Source organism: Homo sapiens, chromosome 7 (genome assembly GCF_000001405.40).
Source record: "Homo sapiens chromosome 7, GRCh38.p14 Primary Assembly".
Lineage (NCBI taxonomy): Eukaryota > Metazoa > Chordata > Mammalia > Primates > Hominidae > Homo > Homo sapiens.
This window is the reverse complement of record NC_000007.14, coordinates 77,278,371-77,296,076: the sequence shown is the minus strand read 5'-3', so window position 1 is coordinate 77,296,076 and position 17,706 is coordinate 77,278,371. Positions and strand designations below refer to the sequence as shown.

The 17,706-nt window shown below is 40.8% G+C and overlaps 1 protein-coding gene across 9 annotated transcripts in view; it reads right to left on the bottom strand.

Moving 5' to 3' along the window:
• Positions 1–872: 872 nt before the first annotated feature.
• CCDC146 (coiled-coil domain containing 146) overlaps positions 873–17,706 on the bottom strand; it is a 172,590-nt gene continuing 155,756 nt past the window's right edge. For all 9 annotated transcript variants that reach the window (XM_047420662.1, NM_020879.3, XM_047420664.1 and 6 more), the window contains 8 exons: positions 17,237–17,325; positions 16,976–17,140; positions 15,424–15,648; positions 13,292–13,520; positions 9,151–9,279; positions 8,500–8,637; positions 2,877–3,125; positions 873–1,414 (listed from right to left, as the gene is read on the bottom strand). In XM_047420662.1, the coding sequence (XP_047276618.1) occupies positions 1,211–1,414; positions 2,877–3,125; positions 8,500–8,637; positions 9,151–9,279; positions 13,292–13,520; positions 15,424–15,648; positions 16,976–17,140; positions 17,237–17,325 (1,428 nt within the window). In that variant the 3' untranslated portion in view covers positions 873–1,210. The remainder of the gene's footprint in view (positions 1,415–2,876; positions 3,126–8,499; positions 8,638–9,150; positions 9,280–13,291; positions 13,521–15,423; positions 15,649–16,975; positions 17,141–17,236; positions 17,326–17,706) is intronic.

Below are 17,706 nucleotides of genomic sequence, written 5' to 3'. Positions count from 1 at the left end.
AGAGACATCTGCACCCCCATGTTTACTGCAGTGCTATTCACAATAGGCAAGACATGAAATCAGCCTAGGTGTCTGTCCAACAACAGATAAGTGGATAAAGAAAATGGGAGCTACACACACACACACACATATGCACATACATATGCACATACACAACGGAATATTATTTAGCCACAAAAAAGAACAAAATCCTGTCATTTGTGGCAACATGAAAGGAACTGGAGGATGTTATGTTCATTGAAATAAGCCAGGTACAGAAAGTTAAACACCACATGTTCTCACTCATGTGTGGAAGCTAAAAATTGTTCTCACTCATGTGGAAGCTAAAAGTAGAACAGCGGATATAAGAGGCTGGGAAGGTTAAGGGAAAGGATGAGGAAAGGAAGGAATGGGGTAGATTTGTTAATAGACACAAAATTACAGTGAAATAGGTGGAATAAGTCCTATGTCCTATACCACTGTAGGATGACTATAGGTAACAATATACAGTTTCAAATAGCTAGGAGGATATTGAATATTCCCAACACAATGAAATGATAAAGTTTGAATGTATATGCTAATTACCCTGATCTGATCACTATACATTATATGTATTGAAACTTCAGTATGTACCCCATGAGTAGGTACAATTATTATTTGTCAAAAAAATAAAATGAAAAAAATGCAAAAAGCCATGACAAGCTTCACTACTTTATGTAATTTAGATTTACCAAGATTAAGTGCTACTTCTTATTCAACAAAGTGAGTTATGCCTTTGCAATACTTGAGGTATTTTCCTTTTCAAATAGCCATTCTTTCTTTTTAAAGTGTGTATATTGAACAGTATTTGTTTTTTCTTTAATAAACAAAGACCACTGTGTCCATTTCCGTACTTCATTGAGAACAGATTTATTTTTAGTGCATTTTTATAGCACCTTGCCTACTACAAATTTCTGGAATGTACTCAATATAAAGAGTGAAAAAGAAAATATAAGCGATTCAAATATATACTTTGACATAAATGTAGGACAGTTCTATGTCCCATTCAACGTCATGAAAGGTATAGTAGTTGGTGGGTAAATAGAAACCCTGTTGTACTCTGTTGCTGACTAATTGTGGTTACCTTACTTATCAATAATATTAGAAGTATTATGCTCACATTTTTCACCTGTGGGTACAAGGAAGCCTGGTTGAAGTCTTTTCCTTGAGAGGCCTGGATTTGTTCACATATTCAGATTTCAACTGGCTTTATAACAGGTTTCCTTATGTGCCTCATATTGGCTCCAGGTTCACTGGGTTTAAAAGGAGCCAAAGCACCATAAGGTTTTGGCAAAGGAAGAGTGGCATCTGCTTCTGGGATGTAGGCATTCGGACGCTGCTCTGCAGTTGTGTAAACACCATTGGGCAGCTGGCGATTATCTGCTTCCAAGAACTCCTGCAAAGAATGATTTTTCCTTTTCAGTTCTCTGAAAACTCTGGTGAAGTCACTTTATCCTTAGGTCCCAAAAGACACAGCTGGTCTGGACAGTCTTTGACCGTGCTAGCTGATACTCCCCAAAGGGATGGGAGGGGTAGGAGGGTAGAATCACACCACACACACACACACACACACACACACACACACACACACACACCTACCTCTCATTGGCATGGGCTGTATTGCTTCAGCATCACATTATTCCTGGGGTTTAGGGTAGGAGGGTGGAATCACACCACACACACACACCCCCACACCTCATTGGAATGGGCTGTATTGCTTAAGCATCACATTAATCCTGGAGTTTAGTGTTTTTCAAAGACTGCTTTGTGGGTCTTAACTATGTTTCCACCTCAATATCTGTCATCAAGCACTAATTATTTCCCTGTTTTTGACAAAGGCAGAGCAACATATTTCCTTTGGTAAGTCATTGGTGAGCAAAAGTTACAATGGAAGAGGTAGAGGAGTAAAGTGGAACCAGAGGAGGAAAATGGTCACCAGCTTTGCCCTGAGCCTCAACGTTTTCAAGATTTTGTCTGTGCCTCTGGAAAATAGAGTAATCACTTACTGCACTGAAAAGCCCTCTAATAAATGGCAGTGGGACACCACAGGTAAAATCTGAATGCCCTGAAAGGAACAGTCCCAGGTGGTGTGGAAATTATAAATCACGTAATTTACACTTGTGCTCAGGTATTCCTAGTGTGTTCTGAATGCAGTTTTGTCTTGAGTTCAGGAGCAAATAGGGACCCTTTCGGTGATACCCACTTGGCAATCTGAGTGAGTTGTACATCTGGAGGATGTAGACTCCTTGGAAAGAGATGCCTAATTCCAGTCTAAGAATACTGACAGGTCATGGGGGTAGACAGAAGATCTGCTATCTAACTTGCAGGGGGAGTCAGCAATAGACCTAGTCTTAGGCCAGAGGCCTAAGGTGGGAAAAGAAAGGGGTGGCGCTGGGGCCTATGATGTACATCAAGCATCTGCAGAAGGCATGGCACCTAAAATGTGGGTGGAGGCCTCACTGTATGCTGTGGAGGCCACAGGAGATGAACATGGAACAGTCAGATGTGGTCTGAGCAGAGGTGCCAAGACAGAGATTGGAGACTTATGGACAAGGCCAGTGCCAGCCTGGTCATTGCTATGCTGGTGGAAGGCCATGATGTTCAGCCTCAGCAGCCCAGGATGTAAGGCTATGGGGTGGGCCCTGTGCTTGCTAAGTGTTCTTCAGTGAGTATTGTAGCACTCTGGATTACTGCACTTTGACTTATCATAGAATATCTTAAATACACTTCTAACGACTGTTGGGACTGTGTGTGGTAGAGTGGGGAAATTTTTCTTATACTGTGGGATAACTGTGGGTTGCCTGAATGCAACCCCTGCTGGCACCCTTTAGAAATGCAATACAGGAGCCAAAGCCTACCTGAGACTTTTCAGCGATGGCCAAGGCGTGCATTTCTTCATCTCGAAGGACTTTCAACCATTCTTTCTCAATTTCCTTATTGAGTGGCAGACCTTTTTCTATCCTGGAATTGCAAGTGAAGATGAAGTCTTCTTTCTCCCTGACTTCCTTTTGGAGTTCAATGGTTAGGGCTTGTTTCATGGACAGCTCAGCAACAAGAGCCATCATTTTCTCAGTTGCATTTTTGATCCTTCTTTGATAGCCATTCATCTAGAATTAAAGAGCCCAAAGCTTAGTCTATGTATACAGTCCACAAAGACTTAAAATGGCAGGCTGCTGGCTGTCTATAATGGCGGGGTGCATTTTTGTCTGAAGGAAGGAGGGTCTAACTTGGAATTCACAGAAATTAAGAACTGGAAGAGACTGCAGATATTGAGCCGAACACCCTGGCTGTGTAAGTAAGGACAAGGAGAGAACAAGAAAAGGATTTGTTTATCTAGTTACTGGATTTCAAGGTGAATAACATTGAGGAGAACAGTTTAGTGCCCATTTTTAAGAGGTAAGAAGGAGAGGTGAAGGGATGTTCTTTTTTTTTTTTTTTTTTTGAGACTGAGTCTCGCTCTGTCGCCCTGGCTGGAGTGCAGTAGCGCAATCTCAGCTCATTGCAAGCTCCGCCTCCCAGGTTCACGCCATTCTCCTGCCTCAGCCTCCCGAGTAGCTGGGACTACAAGTGCCCAACACCATACCCGGCTAATTTTTTTTGTATTTTTATTAGCGCTGGGGTTTCACCGTGTTAGCCAGGATGGTCTTGATCTCCTGACCTCGTGATCCGCCTGCCTCAGCCTCCCTAAGTGCTGGGATTACAGGCGTGAGCCACCGCGCCTGGCCAGGGATGTTCTTTAAAAAAAAAAAAAAAAAAATTAAAATAAAGACAAGGTCTTGTTCTGTTGCTCACACTGGTATATAGTAGTGTGATCATAGCTTACTGCAGCCTGGAACTCCGGGGCTCAAGCAATTCTCCTGCCTCAGCCTCCTAAGTAGATAGGACTATAGCCATGCACCACCATAGTTGGCTAATTTATTATTTTTGTAGCGATGGGGACTTGCTGTGTTGACAAGGCTAGTTTTGAACTCCTGGGCTCAAGCAGTCTTCCTGCCTCGGCCTCCCAAAGTGCTGGGATTACAGGCATGATCCACTGTGCCCAGCCAAGAGTGTTCTTGATGCCTAAATTCTAGTTTAATTTGACGTTATTAGTTTGTCACTTATCCAGGGGAAAAAATCTGGTAGAATTAACGTTACTCTTTGCTTATATAAGATAATCAGCAGAAGTTCTGCATCTGAAATGACTTTTTAAATGAAAACCATCACATTGACATGTTGGCATTATTGATCATAATTCCTGGTGTGCATCATTACTAGGTCAGAAACATGCATGAGCTGAGCTGGGGAATATTTAGTCAATAATTTAGAATGAGAGCTGTTCCTGGAGTGTTTTGTTTTGTTCGTTTGTTTTGAGACAGGGTCTCACTCTGTCACTCAGGCTGGAGCACAGTGGTGTGATCTCAGCTCACTGCAACCTCTGCCCCTGAGGCTCAAGTGATCCTCCCACCTCAGCCTCCCAAGTAGCTGGGACCACAGGTGTGCACCATCACACCCGGCTATTTGTTTTTGTATTTTTTGTAGAGATGGAGTCTCACCATGTTGCCTAGGCAGGTCTTGAACTCCTGAGCTCACGCAATCTACCCGCCATGGCCTCCCAAAGTGCTGGGATTACAGGCATGAGCCACTGCGACCAGACTTTTTTTTTTTTTAACCTATTAATATCAGCTATTTAGCATTAACACAGTTAAAAGATAAGACTAACTGGAAAAAAAAGATCTCAAGAGTCAGGAAAGAAGTAAAACTGGAATTAGGGGTTCCTGTAAGCTGTCTTATAAATGGTAGACTCTTTTAGTCTGATAGCCATAGTGGAGCAGTTCAGTGGTGATACCTTCTACCTGGCAACACTCATTAGTTCCTCTTACCTTGCCTTATTTTTTGTTCACATCATGTCTCACTGCTGATATTATATATGTATTTCACTATTTTTGTCATCCCATAAGAATGTACTCTTCATGAGGACAAGGACTTTTTGTTTTATTCATCATCATAGTCCCAGTGCTCAGGACAGTGCTTGGAATATAAGAGGCACCCCCCCAAATTAAAGTTCAATATTTTCTGAATGAAGGAATGAATGAACTCTTAGTTTGTTTCATTCTTTGTTCTTGGACCAGGATAAATTGGGACATGCAAATGAGCTTCCAAATACTACACTAATGCTGAATACCTTCCTCTCCTAACAGAGCATATCTGGTCACATCTGTACCTCTGTTTAGAAAAATGTTGCTGCTAGTGATTTACCTGCCTCTGAAAATGTAATAACTGATTATTATACACAAATTTTGCCTCCTTAATGGTAGGTAATATACATTTTTATGACTCTTCTATACTGAACTAATTTTTAAGCAGCATGTATCAAATAAAAATGACTACCACTAAAAACTTCAGTGAGTCATAAGTTTTGCCATTTTTATTTGACTTCTAGGCTTCTGCTTTGACAACTTCCACTAACAGACTGAACAGTCCAGCAGCATTGGTGCAATTCACAACTTTTAACTCATAAAATAAGAAATGCTAAGACTTAGATAAGCTAATGCACTTTGAGTAAATTAGCATGTCTTATGTTTCTTTAAATGTTGCTGCCTTTCCTTTTTTAAATGAATTTCCTTATCTTTGGGGGGAGTCATTTTCCACTCAACCACGGCACACTTTTTTTTTCTTCTTTTTTCTCATCTGTTTTTTAAAATTATACTTTAAGTTCTAGGGTACATGTGCACAACGTGCAGATTTGTTACATATGTATACATGTGCCATGTTGGTGTGCTGCACCCATTAACTCATCATTTACATTAGGTATATCTCCTAATGCTATCCCTCCCCCCACCCCATGACAGGCCCCGGTGTTCCCCTTCATGTGTCCATGTGTTCTCATTGTTCAGTTCCCATCTATGAGTGAGAACATGCAGTGTTTGGTTTTTTGTCCTTGTGATAGTTTGCTGAGAATGATGGTTTCCAGCTTCATCCATGTCCCTACAAAGGACATGAACTCATCCTTTTTTTGGCTGCATAGTATTCCATGGTGTATATGTACCACATTTGCTTAATCCAGTCTATCATTGATGGACATTTGGGTTGGTTCCAAGTCTTTGCTATTGTGAATAGTGTGGCAATAAACATACGTGTGCATGTGTCTTTATAGCAGCATGATTTATAATCCTTTGGGTATATACCCAGTAATGGGATGGCAACCACTACACACTCGAGTGTGTGTGTCCATCTGTGTAACTGGCCAACTTCCCTTCTCTTCCATAAATTAGAAAACAAAGTTTCATATTATCCTGGGTTGCTCCAAGTCTTAACTGAGATTTCCCACTTTCTGCTCCCATTTCTGTTGGGAAATTTGCAGGAGGCGCCATAAGCTATCTAGGAGAAGTGAGACACTTGAGGAGATGTGCAATCTTTTTGAATGTGGCTAGGTCACTTACGTGTTCGACTATGTAATACTTGCAACAACTTTGGCTATCACACCCATTACACAGATGAGCAAACTGAGTTTTAAGATCATTTATCCATCTTTCTCAAGGTCATTTTCTACTTTTGATAAATCATAGATCTGGAATCTGAATGTCTTTCTACTTTCCAGTTCTGCCTACTATGAGATTATCATTTTAAATGGAGTGGGGACAGTGAAAGCTGGGGAGGAGGAAGAAGCCAATGGAGAGCATGGAAGGTAGGGAAAGGAAAGGGGAGAATAATTGTTAGACTAGGACTCGGCTGTGCTGGAGCTTTCCTGGCTATGGGAAGCGGCCGCTATGTACATTTCTTTAGCATTACTGTTGCCTTCCAGGCGACTCTGCCATCAGCTTTGATAAGTCAGGCCTCAGTGAAAAATGACTTCCCCCAAAGAAAGGGAAATTCATTTTGCAAAAGGAAGGAAGGCAACGTTTATTTAAAGAAATATCAGACATGCTAATTCAGGCAAAGTGCATGAGCTTAACTGAGCCTTCGCATCAGTCCAGTGGCAGACGTGTGACTCACAACTTTGTACCTTAGTTTGGGAGGCCAAGTTGTGATTTGCACACCTGCCACTGGCCTGATCAGTCTAGTCATGGAAGTCATCAGAGCAGAAGCATAATAGTCAAATAAAAATGGCAAAGATAGTCTAATATTTACAATCATTTCTTGTTTAGTGTTCCACATGTGCTTCTAGAACAGAACTGATGATTACTCATCCTTGAAGTGTTTTTCTAGAGTCTGGCACATGCTAGGCATTGGAGAAATTAAGAACGAGGAACAGCTGCTGCCCTCAGGAGCCCACAGTCTCTGGTGTGGGTATTACCATTATCTGTTTTCATCTGTCTCCCCCTACTAGACCCTATGAGCTTCCTATGGTGTAAACAATGTGTCCCTTCCTCTTTGTTTCTGAACTCATGCCTAGCATGAGAGTAGCACATAGCAGGTGTTCAGTAATTACTGTTGACTGGCTGAACTCTCTGCATTGACGGGATGCTCCAGGGAACCCAGAGGCCAGGTGAGTGGCCAGTCCTCTGATGGCTCTATGGTATGCATGAAAGGCCTCGCATGAATGGTCTTGTGTAGGGGTAGACTGAGGAAGGAGTGAGTCCCGTGCCTGCACGGACATGACCCAGAAATGGGTGTACAGGCTGATGGGGCAATTCCCCAAATGAACCTTTGTTGGAAGCAGGAGTCAGAGCCACAGGAAGCCTGGCAAGACCTGCAGGCACCATGCTTCCTGCACAGCCTGCAGAACCATGAGCCAAAATAAACCTCTTTTCTTTATCAGTTACCCAGCCTCAGGTATTCCTTTACAGCAATGCAAACGAACTAATAGACAGCCTTCACCTCTTCATTGCAGGTTGTTACAGAGACCAGGGTAACTAGCATGCAACATGCTGGGAGTCCAGGGGGACTTCTAGGGGCTCTGCTGGCTGCTCCTTTCAGTGCAGCTTCTAGCAGTCCCACCCTGACCCTGAGGCTCTGGATCTGCTGTCCTGGTCTCTTACGCTTATTAAATTAGGGGGTTCTGTATTCCTGGCCTTTCCTCACTAGTGGTGCCTGGTGGGCACCTCCATGGTGCAGTTGGTCTGGGTGTTGTGTGACTGCATTTCTCTTTATCAGTCCCTTTCAATTTCTGGGTTCTGGCTGAGTTCTGGATTGGAGCAGTCCCTACTAAGATCACTGGATAAGTGAGGCGCTCCACTTAAAAGGAACTAAAAAGGATTTAACTTTGTGCATGAAATACAAAGATAATAACTGTCATATTTGGGTAGTTGCCTTGGTAAGTGAAACTTGTATAGTGTCATTTAAAAGCCTAGGTTTTGCCACCGTGAAGTGAATTAATTCAGGGAATAAGATTGAAACATTTTGGACAATTCTCTGAGTCATCCTTTCGTTTTTCTAAGTTCCCCTAGTCATAAAGCCTAATCTCTCCAGTGCTTCTCTCAATAAATCTGTCGGTCTGTGGAAAATAAAAGGTAATAAAGGAGCAGGGGCAGAAGGGAAAAGGCAGGGTCTCAGGCCTACCTTCTTGGCTAAGAGCAGTGTGTCCTGCTTGCAGCCCTGAGTTTTGCTGCAGAGCCTGTCTGTGAGCCTGGAGACCTGCTCATAGATGAAATCCTTCTCCAGCAGCTTCTCCTCCTTCTTGGCCAGTTGTAGTTCCAGCTATGTTTGAAAATTGGTTCAAGAGGAATAAAAAAAAAGTCATCTAAGACAAAATCTTATTTCCTAATTAGAGCAGTATCTCCCCCTACCCCCCACAAAATACCTCTGGAAAGTGTTTAGAGCTGGGTTAAGACTTTCCCTGCCCCAGCCCCTGCAGATACCTCTGGGAGTTCGAGTATGGCCCCCTCAGCTCTATCTAACATCCACATCACCATTCTTCTGATGTGCTCCCATCAGGAAGACAAATTAATCCATTTAAGATGCCAAAATTACTCCTTTGGGTCATGAGAGAAATGTGCCTTTGGAATCTCGAAACCACTGGATTGGAACTTCTTTTGGCAAGTGTCTAAATCAAGCTTAGAATGTATGACTAGATTACAACAAAAGGACTATATTAGTGACTAGAATAATGAAGGATAGGTCTGTCAGCATAACATGAAACAGTACCATAGGTATCTGTGAAACTACATCAACGAGGAGCTAACAGATGCAATTTTAAGCAATAATGTTTACCTTGTCTAATTTTTGGATCATTTCTTTTTCGGTCAGATCTTTCCCTGGAAGGAAGCGAGCTCTATTCTCACCATCAGGCTTTACGAACTGTTTCTCCAGGTCTTTAATTCTGTCTGTACACTGTGAAAACTATTAAGAAAAAAACATTAACTTTAAAATGAACGCTCTAGCTCAGTTAATCTGAAAATCACATTGCCTAGGGTCTTGAGAGTTTTTTAGTAGGACCAACCCAGACAAGGGTAGAAGAGAACTCTGTTTTCTTAACACCCCATCAGCTGGGACCTGGTTAAGTGACGTTTCTGCTCATTTATGGTACTGCGACGATGATGTCTATAATTCGATCATATGAGGTGAGGCAGTGCCTTCTGGGTCATAGAAAAAGCTGGTTTCACAAGCGGCCCTTGATTGCTTCCCATTTTGGGTCATGTTCATGGGATGCTGTGTGGTTGCAGGGCTCCAAGTATACAGCCTGATATGGTTTCGATGTGTCCCCCTCCAAATCTCATGTTGAATGAATATAATCCCCAACGTTGGTGGTGGGGCTGGGTGAGAGGTGTTTGGGTCATGGGGGCAGGATGGGGCCTTCATGAATGGCTTGGTACTGTCCTTGCAATAATGAGTGAGTTCTCAATCTATGAATTCAAGTGACATCTGGTTGTTTAAAAACAGCCTGGCTCCTCTGCTTCTTTCTCTTGCTTCCTCTCTCGCCATGCAATGTGCCTGCGCCCCCTTTGCTTTCCACCATGATTGGAAGCCTCCTGAGGCCCTCACCAGATGCAGATGCTGGCACATGCTTCCTACACAGCCTGCAGAACCATGAGCTAAAATAAACCTCTTTTCTTTATGTTATCCAGCCTCAGGTATTCCTTTACAGCAATGCAAATGAACTAACACACAGCCTTCACCTCTTCATTGCAGGTTGTTACAGAGACCAGGGTAACTCACATACAACACACTGGACTTCATTTCAAAACACTTGGCTGGCAATAGGTTTAATGGCTTCCCAAAGAAAGAGAAAAACATTCTTAATTATTGAATCTACCTAATGTACACTCTGTGAGGAACAGCTTGGGCTATTTGTATTTTTTCTGCTAAATCCCTAATATAGTGTCATATGTATCAACTCTATTTGTTGAATCAATGAGATTTTGGTGGTGAATGAAGAAACATGGCTACTCCTAAATAGGAATGGTAGCCACACTTAGTTTTTGTTTTATAGGGAGAGAGATACGGAGCATGGTGACAACCAACAAGCATTATTTTCAGTTTTCCTACTGAATACCTGTGTAATCTCAGGTAAATCATTTATCTTCTCTAAACCTTAGTTTCCTCACTTGTCAAATGGGAAGAAAAGGCTCAGTGCCATGGGGTTGATCCATCATATGAGATAATATATTGATGGTATTTTACAACATGTCTAAGACTGATACAGGTAGCATTTTTAAAATTTAATTTATGCTCCTCCTCCCTACAAAAATAATTACAAATGCTGACAAATAATTTAACATTTTTCTTTTTCCTGTATCTACATCCCTTAAATGTCCTTAATATAGAATTGAAGTGTACATACATATGTAATCAAGCATTTGTTGTATTTATTATTAACAATACTTAATGTTCCCTTTTCTTAATTAGGAAACTAAATAAGAAACAAAAATATAGTGCTTGCTTATAAAGGGATGTCTCAATTTTAGTTTTCCCTTGGCATTTGAGGAAAAACTGTTTACTCTGTCTATGTAAAATAGTGTCCTTGTGTCCCAAAATAGTTCATATAACTTCCTAAAATTGAGCTATCATTATAGGAACCAGGAGAACAGACTCATGATAATCCTTGGATTAGATTGTTGGACAATTAAAAACTGTTATGGACGACCGAAAAAAATGCAAACCTTAAGAGAATTCTGAAAATGATGCAAAAAAGGGAGAAGACTTAAAAAAAAAACAAACCCCAAGACACTGTGGCTGTAAAAAATGACAGGATATGACCGGGATCTGACACTGCAGAACAGGGCACAGAAATGGCTTGCCTGAAGCTAGAAATTTCACATCATATCCTTCAAGGGTACACATGATTGATGCTGAGCAGATAATCAGAATTCACTCCGGTAGAGCAGATAACTGATAACACAGTCTGCATGTCTCAGTTCATGTGCAATCAAAATGATCAAAATTCACCATCAGGCAGGGAGTGTAGTGTTATGAAATGCATAATATTTCCTTCTTGGGTAAAAGTGAATTTACATTTCATACTAGATAATAGGTTTTATATAATAAAATGACAATTTTTTTTCTAAGAACAATTTTATCCACTGAATGGAAGTATTGATTTGCAGTGAACACAAAGAATATGCTTATACAATAGAGAGGAAATTATTCTGTTGCAGATTTTATTGAATTTAAAGATCTTTTGTGTTGCTCTGCATCTTGATAGTTTAGGATGGGCAAAGATGGACCTAAATCTTCATTTTGGGAAAAAGCTGGAGAGAGACAAATTCTTCTGTAAAATGGAGTGGGGGCAAGCATGGAGTTCCTGGGGGCAATCTGGGATGAGGAGGCTGTGGAGGGAGAGGGGAGGTGAAAGAGAAGCCAGTGAAATCGAGCTAGGCAAGGGTGTGGTACAAGGTATTAGTGCTCAGGGAAGCGTCTCCAGTGCCCCCAAGAAGAGTATGGATATCTGATATCAAATTGAAGTGCTTTGCATTTCTGTAATGTAACCCCACATACCATTGCCCCACATCTTTAATAAAGTCTGTCCACAGAGGCCTCGCTTGAATGGTCTTGTGTAGGTGTAGCCTGAGGAAGGGGTGAGTTCCGTGCCTTTGCAGACATGGCACAGAAGTGGCACAGGCACTGTGTGTGCAGGCTGATGGGTGATCCCTCAAATGAACCTTGTTGGAAGCAGGAGTCAGAGCCACAGGAAGCCTGGGGAGGCCTGTGGGAGTTTAGGGGGACTTTCTAGCCAATCGATCTCAATCTGACTACACTTACTGAAGAAATGAGTGGAAGAACTCAAGGCTAAATTAAAAAAACAAACAAACTTGGAATCAGAACATTGGCATATTTGTGCAAACTGAAAGAGGCTATTATCTATACAGCATATACACATTCAAATGGCATAAAATATGAAAGCAGATCTATCATCTAGTCCCATGAAATCCTATGAATCCCCTTCACATGATTAAAAAAAAGGGGGATCTAAAACTGTCTAGGGCATGAGCTAATGAAAAACATTTACTTGTATACCTAGAAAATAAATGACAAGATGTCTCCCAGATTTTTGATAATTTTAATAGCAATTATATCTTGGGAGTAGAATTTTATTTTCTTCTTTATAATTTTTATACTTTTACAAAATTTCATTCACCAAATGTCTTAACTTTTTATCAGGAAAAAAAATCCAAACGCAAACCTGACATTTAAAAAAAAATATTATAGGTTAGAATTTGTTCCTGCTACATTGGTCAATGGGAACAAGTTTAGGCTACACAGTTTTTATTTTAATTTTTAAAAAAATTCTATGAAGAATAAACCCCAAGTAACACATGTGAAGAAAGTAACTTTATATTCACATTTTATTTATTTTGTTATTTCATGTTTTAGTTTTTTGGATCTATTCCACTTTAAAAAAGGCCATGTCAAAGGCCAGGTTACTAAGCTATCATAGAACTACAGTGGTTAATAAAGAATCAAGTTATATGTAACTGACAACTACTAATAAGCAACAATCTCCAGACAATCTCTTGCTCTGGGGGCCAGAGTATCAAAAGTAAGAGTGCTGGCTCATCCTCAAGATCTGTCCAGCAAGCAGCAACGACATAATTATGCTGAGGGTAGTGAGAGTCTAGATCACTAAATTTTGAGCTATGAGGAAGCTGAGCTAGAGATAAGTCCTGGGAGTCTTCAAATTCCAAGAAAAGCAGAAAATGCTTCATAAGAAAAAAAGACAATGTGTAGCCTGGATGCCTGAAGCACAGATTCCATCCTAGAGTAGCATTCAAATGTATTTTTAAACAAGATGGATGGATTCTTATAGGTCCCAGAAATAGTATGGCTTGGTTTACATGCAAGAACTCACCCACAAACTAATAAAGGCAGAAAAAAATAAATGGTCTGAGGAAGTGTCCCGTGATCACTCACCCACCTGAATTTGGAGCACAGCTAGGTCGGCATCCAGGGACCTCTTGGCTGGCAGTAATTTCTGGGTCACACAAATTTGTCTTTGCTTCTCAGCAATCTTCATTTTCAGGAATTGGATCTTTTCTTCCAGTAGATGTATTTCAATTTCTCCATTTAGTTTCATCTTCTCTTGGATATTTATTTTTTCATAAAAAATGCATATTTCTTCTTCCCGCTCTATCAGCTGAACGCCACTATGGTCAAATTCAGAGGCAGAGGCTAAGTGGGCATTGAGACCACCGTTTTACTAGTCATTGTGGTTCCCTCTGGCTTTGGATGCAAGATATACACAACATAGCATACTTCCAGAGGATCACAGATAGTCACCAATGGCTTTCTAGTTAAATTACATCCACACTTTGGAATTCTCTAGGGATAGGAGGGTTACTGAGCCTCTCAACTTTGAGGCTGACCATGTGGTTGGCTAGCCACAATGTCTCTGAAAGTCCCAAAGGTTTTCCTGGGGTGGGAAAGAATGTCATTCCCAATGCACAAACAAAGTGATCCCATAGTCTGATTTTCTGCAGATCCTTTTCTCGGGTCAGACTTGCCAACCAAGGCCTGGCCAGAAGCACACAGGCAGGGGGCCAGGGAATGTAGTTCTGGTGTGAGTCTGCTCTATATTAAGTTGCTAGGCCCATTAGTTTCTTCTCAAGTTGAATATTTCTGGTTGTGATTTCCCCATAAACAGGCAAAAATCTATCCTTTGTAATCATGCCAGGAGAAAGACCCCTCCTTGAATGGAGAATATGGGGAGGAAACAAAGTAAGAATGTTCTAACCCCAGCAGCTCTGGTCTGCATGACCGATCATGCACCACTGATCTGAGTGGCACCTGGGTGCACACTGTTTGTCCAAACGCTTTGGTTTGTGCCAGGAGCTGAATAGCATTTTTTTTCTCCCCTGGAGAAAAACCTACCAGCCCTTTGAAAATGTGCTGTTCTTCAAAGGACCCTAAAGGTCTTCCCACACATTATGCATATACATTATTTCAGAGTTCCTCCTTTAATTGCTTCTATCTATGACTCCCCTTCCTCAAAACATGCATGCATGTGGTTGTACTCAGCTAATCCCAGCTCTATATTTTGTCTGTTTTCCTTTCAAAGGCTCAAGATCAAGTTCTCTTGACAACAGAAGCCAGGAACAATGTTTTACCACTTTTTTGTACTCTCAAGGTCTAGCACTCTAATGCCTTATACAGAATAGCACACAATCAAAGTTTGCTTAAAAAAAATCTGATACCAGATGTCATTATCACAGGGCTCTGCAAATTTCACATTCCAATTTCTCAGAGCACAAGTAACTTGGGAGAAACTGCTGAAGTAAACATTGATTAATGATATAACTGCAACCTGGAAGAAATAATGCTACTCCTAAAGGTCTTACTAACTTGCTGAGCAAATGAACTAGGAGAATGGCTAAATATAATAAGACCAAACTTACCACAACATTGGGTACAAGTTCCACACTTATTTATGTCAATTATGCTGAAAGAATCTGATGTTATAAGAGGCAACCCGAATGACCACTTAGGAAAGGACATTGATCTTCAAAAGCAAGCAACTTTCCCAAACCCCTCCTCTTTGCCTGTTTATGACATAGGACGGTATTTCTTTCTTTCTCTCTTTTTTTTTTTTTGTTTGTTTTTGGAGACGGAGTCTTGCTCTGTTGCCCAGGCTATAGTGCAGTGGCACGATCTCAGCTCACTGCAACCTCTGCCTCCCGGGTTCAAGCGATTCTCGTGCTGCAGCTTCCCAAGTAGCTGGGATTACAGGCCCCCACCACCACACCTGGCTAATTTCTTGTATTTTTAGTAGGGATGGGGTTTCACCCTATTGCCCAGGCTGGTCTCGAACTCCTGAGCTCAAGTGATCCACCCACCTTGGCCTCCCAAAGTGCTGGGATCATGCCACTGTGCCCAGCGTGAGGACAGTGTTTCTTATTTTCCAGGGAAGCAACACACAGTCCCTTCTCTCCAAAGGCTAATGCAACCTGAATATCACATTTCCCTCACTATTCACTGTCAAGTCTAGATAGAAAAAGAGGTGACATTCCTCAGTTGGATCCCTGGTGCTCTGTTCTCACACCTGGTTTTTACCTTTCATTTCGATGCTGAACAGCTTTTTCGTATCTTTTGCGAAGCTGCACCATCTCCTCTTCGATCATTGTGATCGTGTTGGCAAGTCTGTCAATGTTATTTAACTGGGCTTCCTTCTTTTCTTTCATTTCCTGAAGTTTTGATACAATTTTGCGCACATCGTTTTGCATGCTCTCTCTGATGGTAACATTGTTGGCGTGTTTCAGCATGGAATTTTGTAGCTTTCTTTTAAAGTAATAAGACAATGGGTAAGATTATAATTTTCTTTAGTTTATTTAAAAGGAATGAAGGCTTCTGAAACACAAGCACTATCAAAGCAGACCTTGCTTTAGTGTAGCCCTTGAAATGATACTAGTAATAATGATATTCATCTTATGATACTCTTCAGGAATTTTCATAATCCTTCCAGGTCTCAGATTTTCTCTGCTCCAGATTAGAACATCTTTCCTTTTCCCCCCAATGTTCTGCTGACCCCCTTTATCAAAGCGAGAGACTGCAGTCATTCATTTATTGTCATTCTCAGGAGACTGCTGTCTTGAGGACAGAGATGGTTATATCCAATAATGTCCACTGGACATAAGGTGGTGCCTGACTCAGCCTGTGGCCACAATAAATGCTGAATGAATGCATGGCCTCTATAAATGTATTTTATTTTCAAGTTGGATGAGAACCTGATTAGGAAATCATATTTTTCTTTTCATCCACCCCCGACCCCTGAAATGAGGCCACTTTATAATTGCTTTGTTGAAGGAAACTGGGCAATAATGGCCATCAGAAAATTAGATTATACCCTGATCGTGTACTGTTTACTAACATAGGTGAAAGAGTCCAGAAGATCTTGGCACATGGTAAATAATAAATGAAGAAAACAACCATTTGCCAGACGCTTTTCTGAGTGTTTTTATATGAATTAGCTCATTTCACAGTAAAATGTCGCATGAAATATGGTATGGATAAGGAAAGTGAGCTCAGAGAGACAAAGCAGCTTGTCCAAGGTTACAGAGGTAATAAGTGGGAGGGGTGGTATTTGAGTCTGGACACCACCTCTTTCACCAATCTGCTATAACGTATTGCCTCCCACAACACATGAGATGCTTTACATCTACAATCAGGGGATGTTGGTTAACAAACGATTTGATTGTTTTCTAACTTCCCAATCCCAATTATTAGATTTGTGCTTTTCTTTCTAATTGGGCAGGTGAAAATCATCATAGTAAGCATAGTTATATGTTATGGTTTTTCATTCATTAAAAAAATGACTCCCAAAGAGTAGAAGCATGGTAGATTATCATCTATAAAACAAGATGTTTGAACAAGGGCTTTTTCTGGATTTCTAATTCTGGCTTTCTAAAATACTATTCTTTTTATTTTTTATTTTTATTATTTTTTTGAGACAGGGTCTCATTCTGTCACCCAGGCTGGAGGGCAGTGGCACCATCTTGGCTCATTGCAGCCTCTGCCTCTTTCCTATCTTCTTATCCCCAGGATTTTTAGAGTTCAAATGAATCAGAAAACAAGCCTTTGAAAGGCCAATAGTTATTATAACACTTACCTTTCTTGACTAACGGCACTATTTCTCAGAATTTCAAGTTCATTTAATGACATTTTATGCCTTTCTTTTATTTCATTTACTTTCTGATGAGCTTTGTGGAGTAAGTTAACAAATTTGTTTCTTTCATTTCGAATGGTGTCATACAGTTTAGCAAACTCTCTCAGTCTGTAAAAATACAAAGTGTTTACTGAAACTTATGAAATGAACATCAGGTTTTTTTCCCCTCACCTACGTAGATAAAACACCACATAATTACTTTACCTCCGATAAATTTCACATTTTTTCTTCTTGTGTATCCTGATTTCAAGATCCTTTGCTTTCATTTCTTTAACAATGTTGGTGTATTTTTGCTGAAATGTACAAAAAAATGTGAAATAAATAACAACATATGAACACTCCCAGATTTATCCCACATCATTCCCTTCCATTAAAGACAATTCTCCAGCCTAGGCAACATAGTGAGACCTCATCTCTACAAAAATAAAAAAATTATCTGGGTATGGTGGTGTGCACCTGTAGTCCCAGCTACTCAGGAGGCTGAGGTGGGAGGATCGCTCGAGCCCAAGAATTCGAGGCTGCAGTGAGCCATGATTGCATCACTCCGCTCCAGCCTGGGCGACAAAGTAAGATCCTGTCTCTCCAAAAAAAAAAAAAAAAAAAAAAAAATTATTTCTTGGCTTGCTGGGTTGTACAGATCAGGGTGAAGGGTAAAAGAGATCTGAAAATTCCCT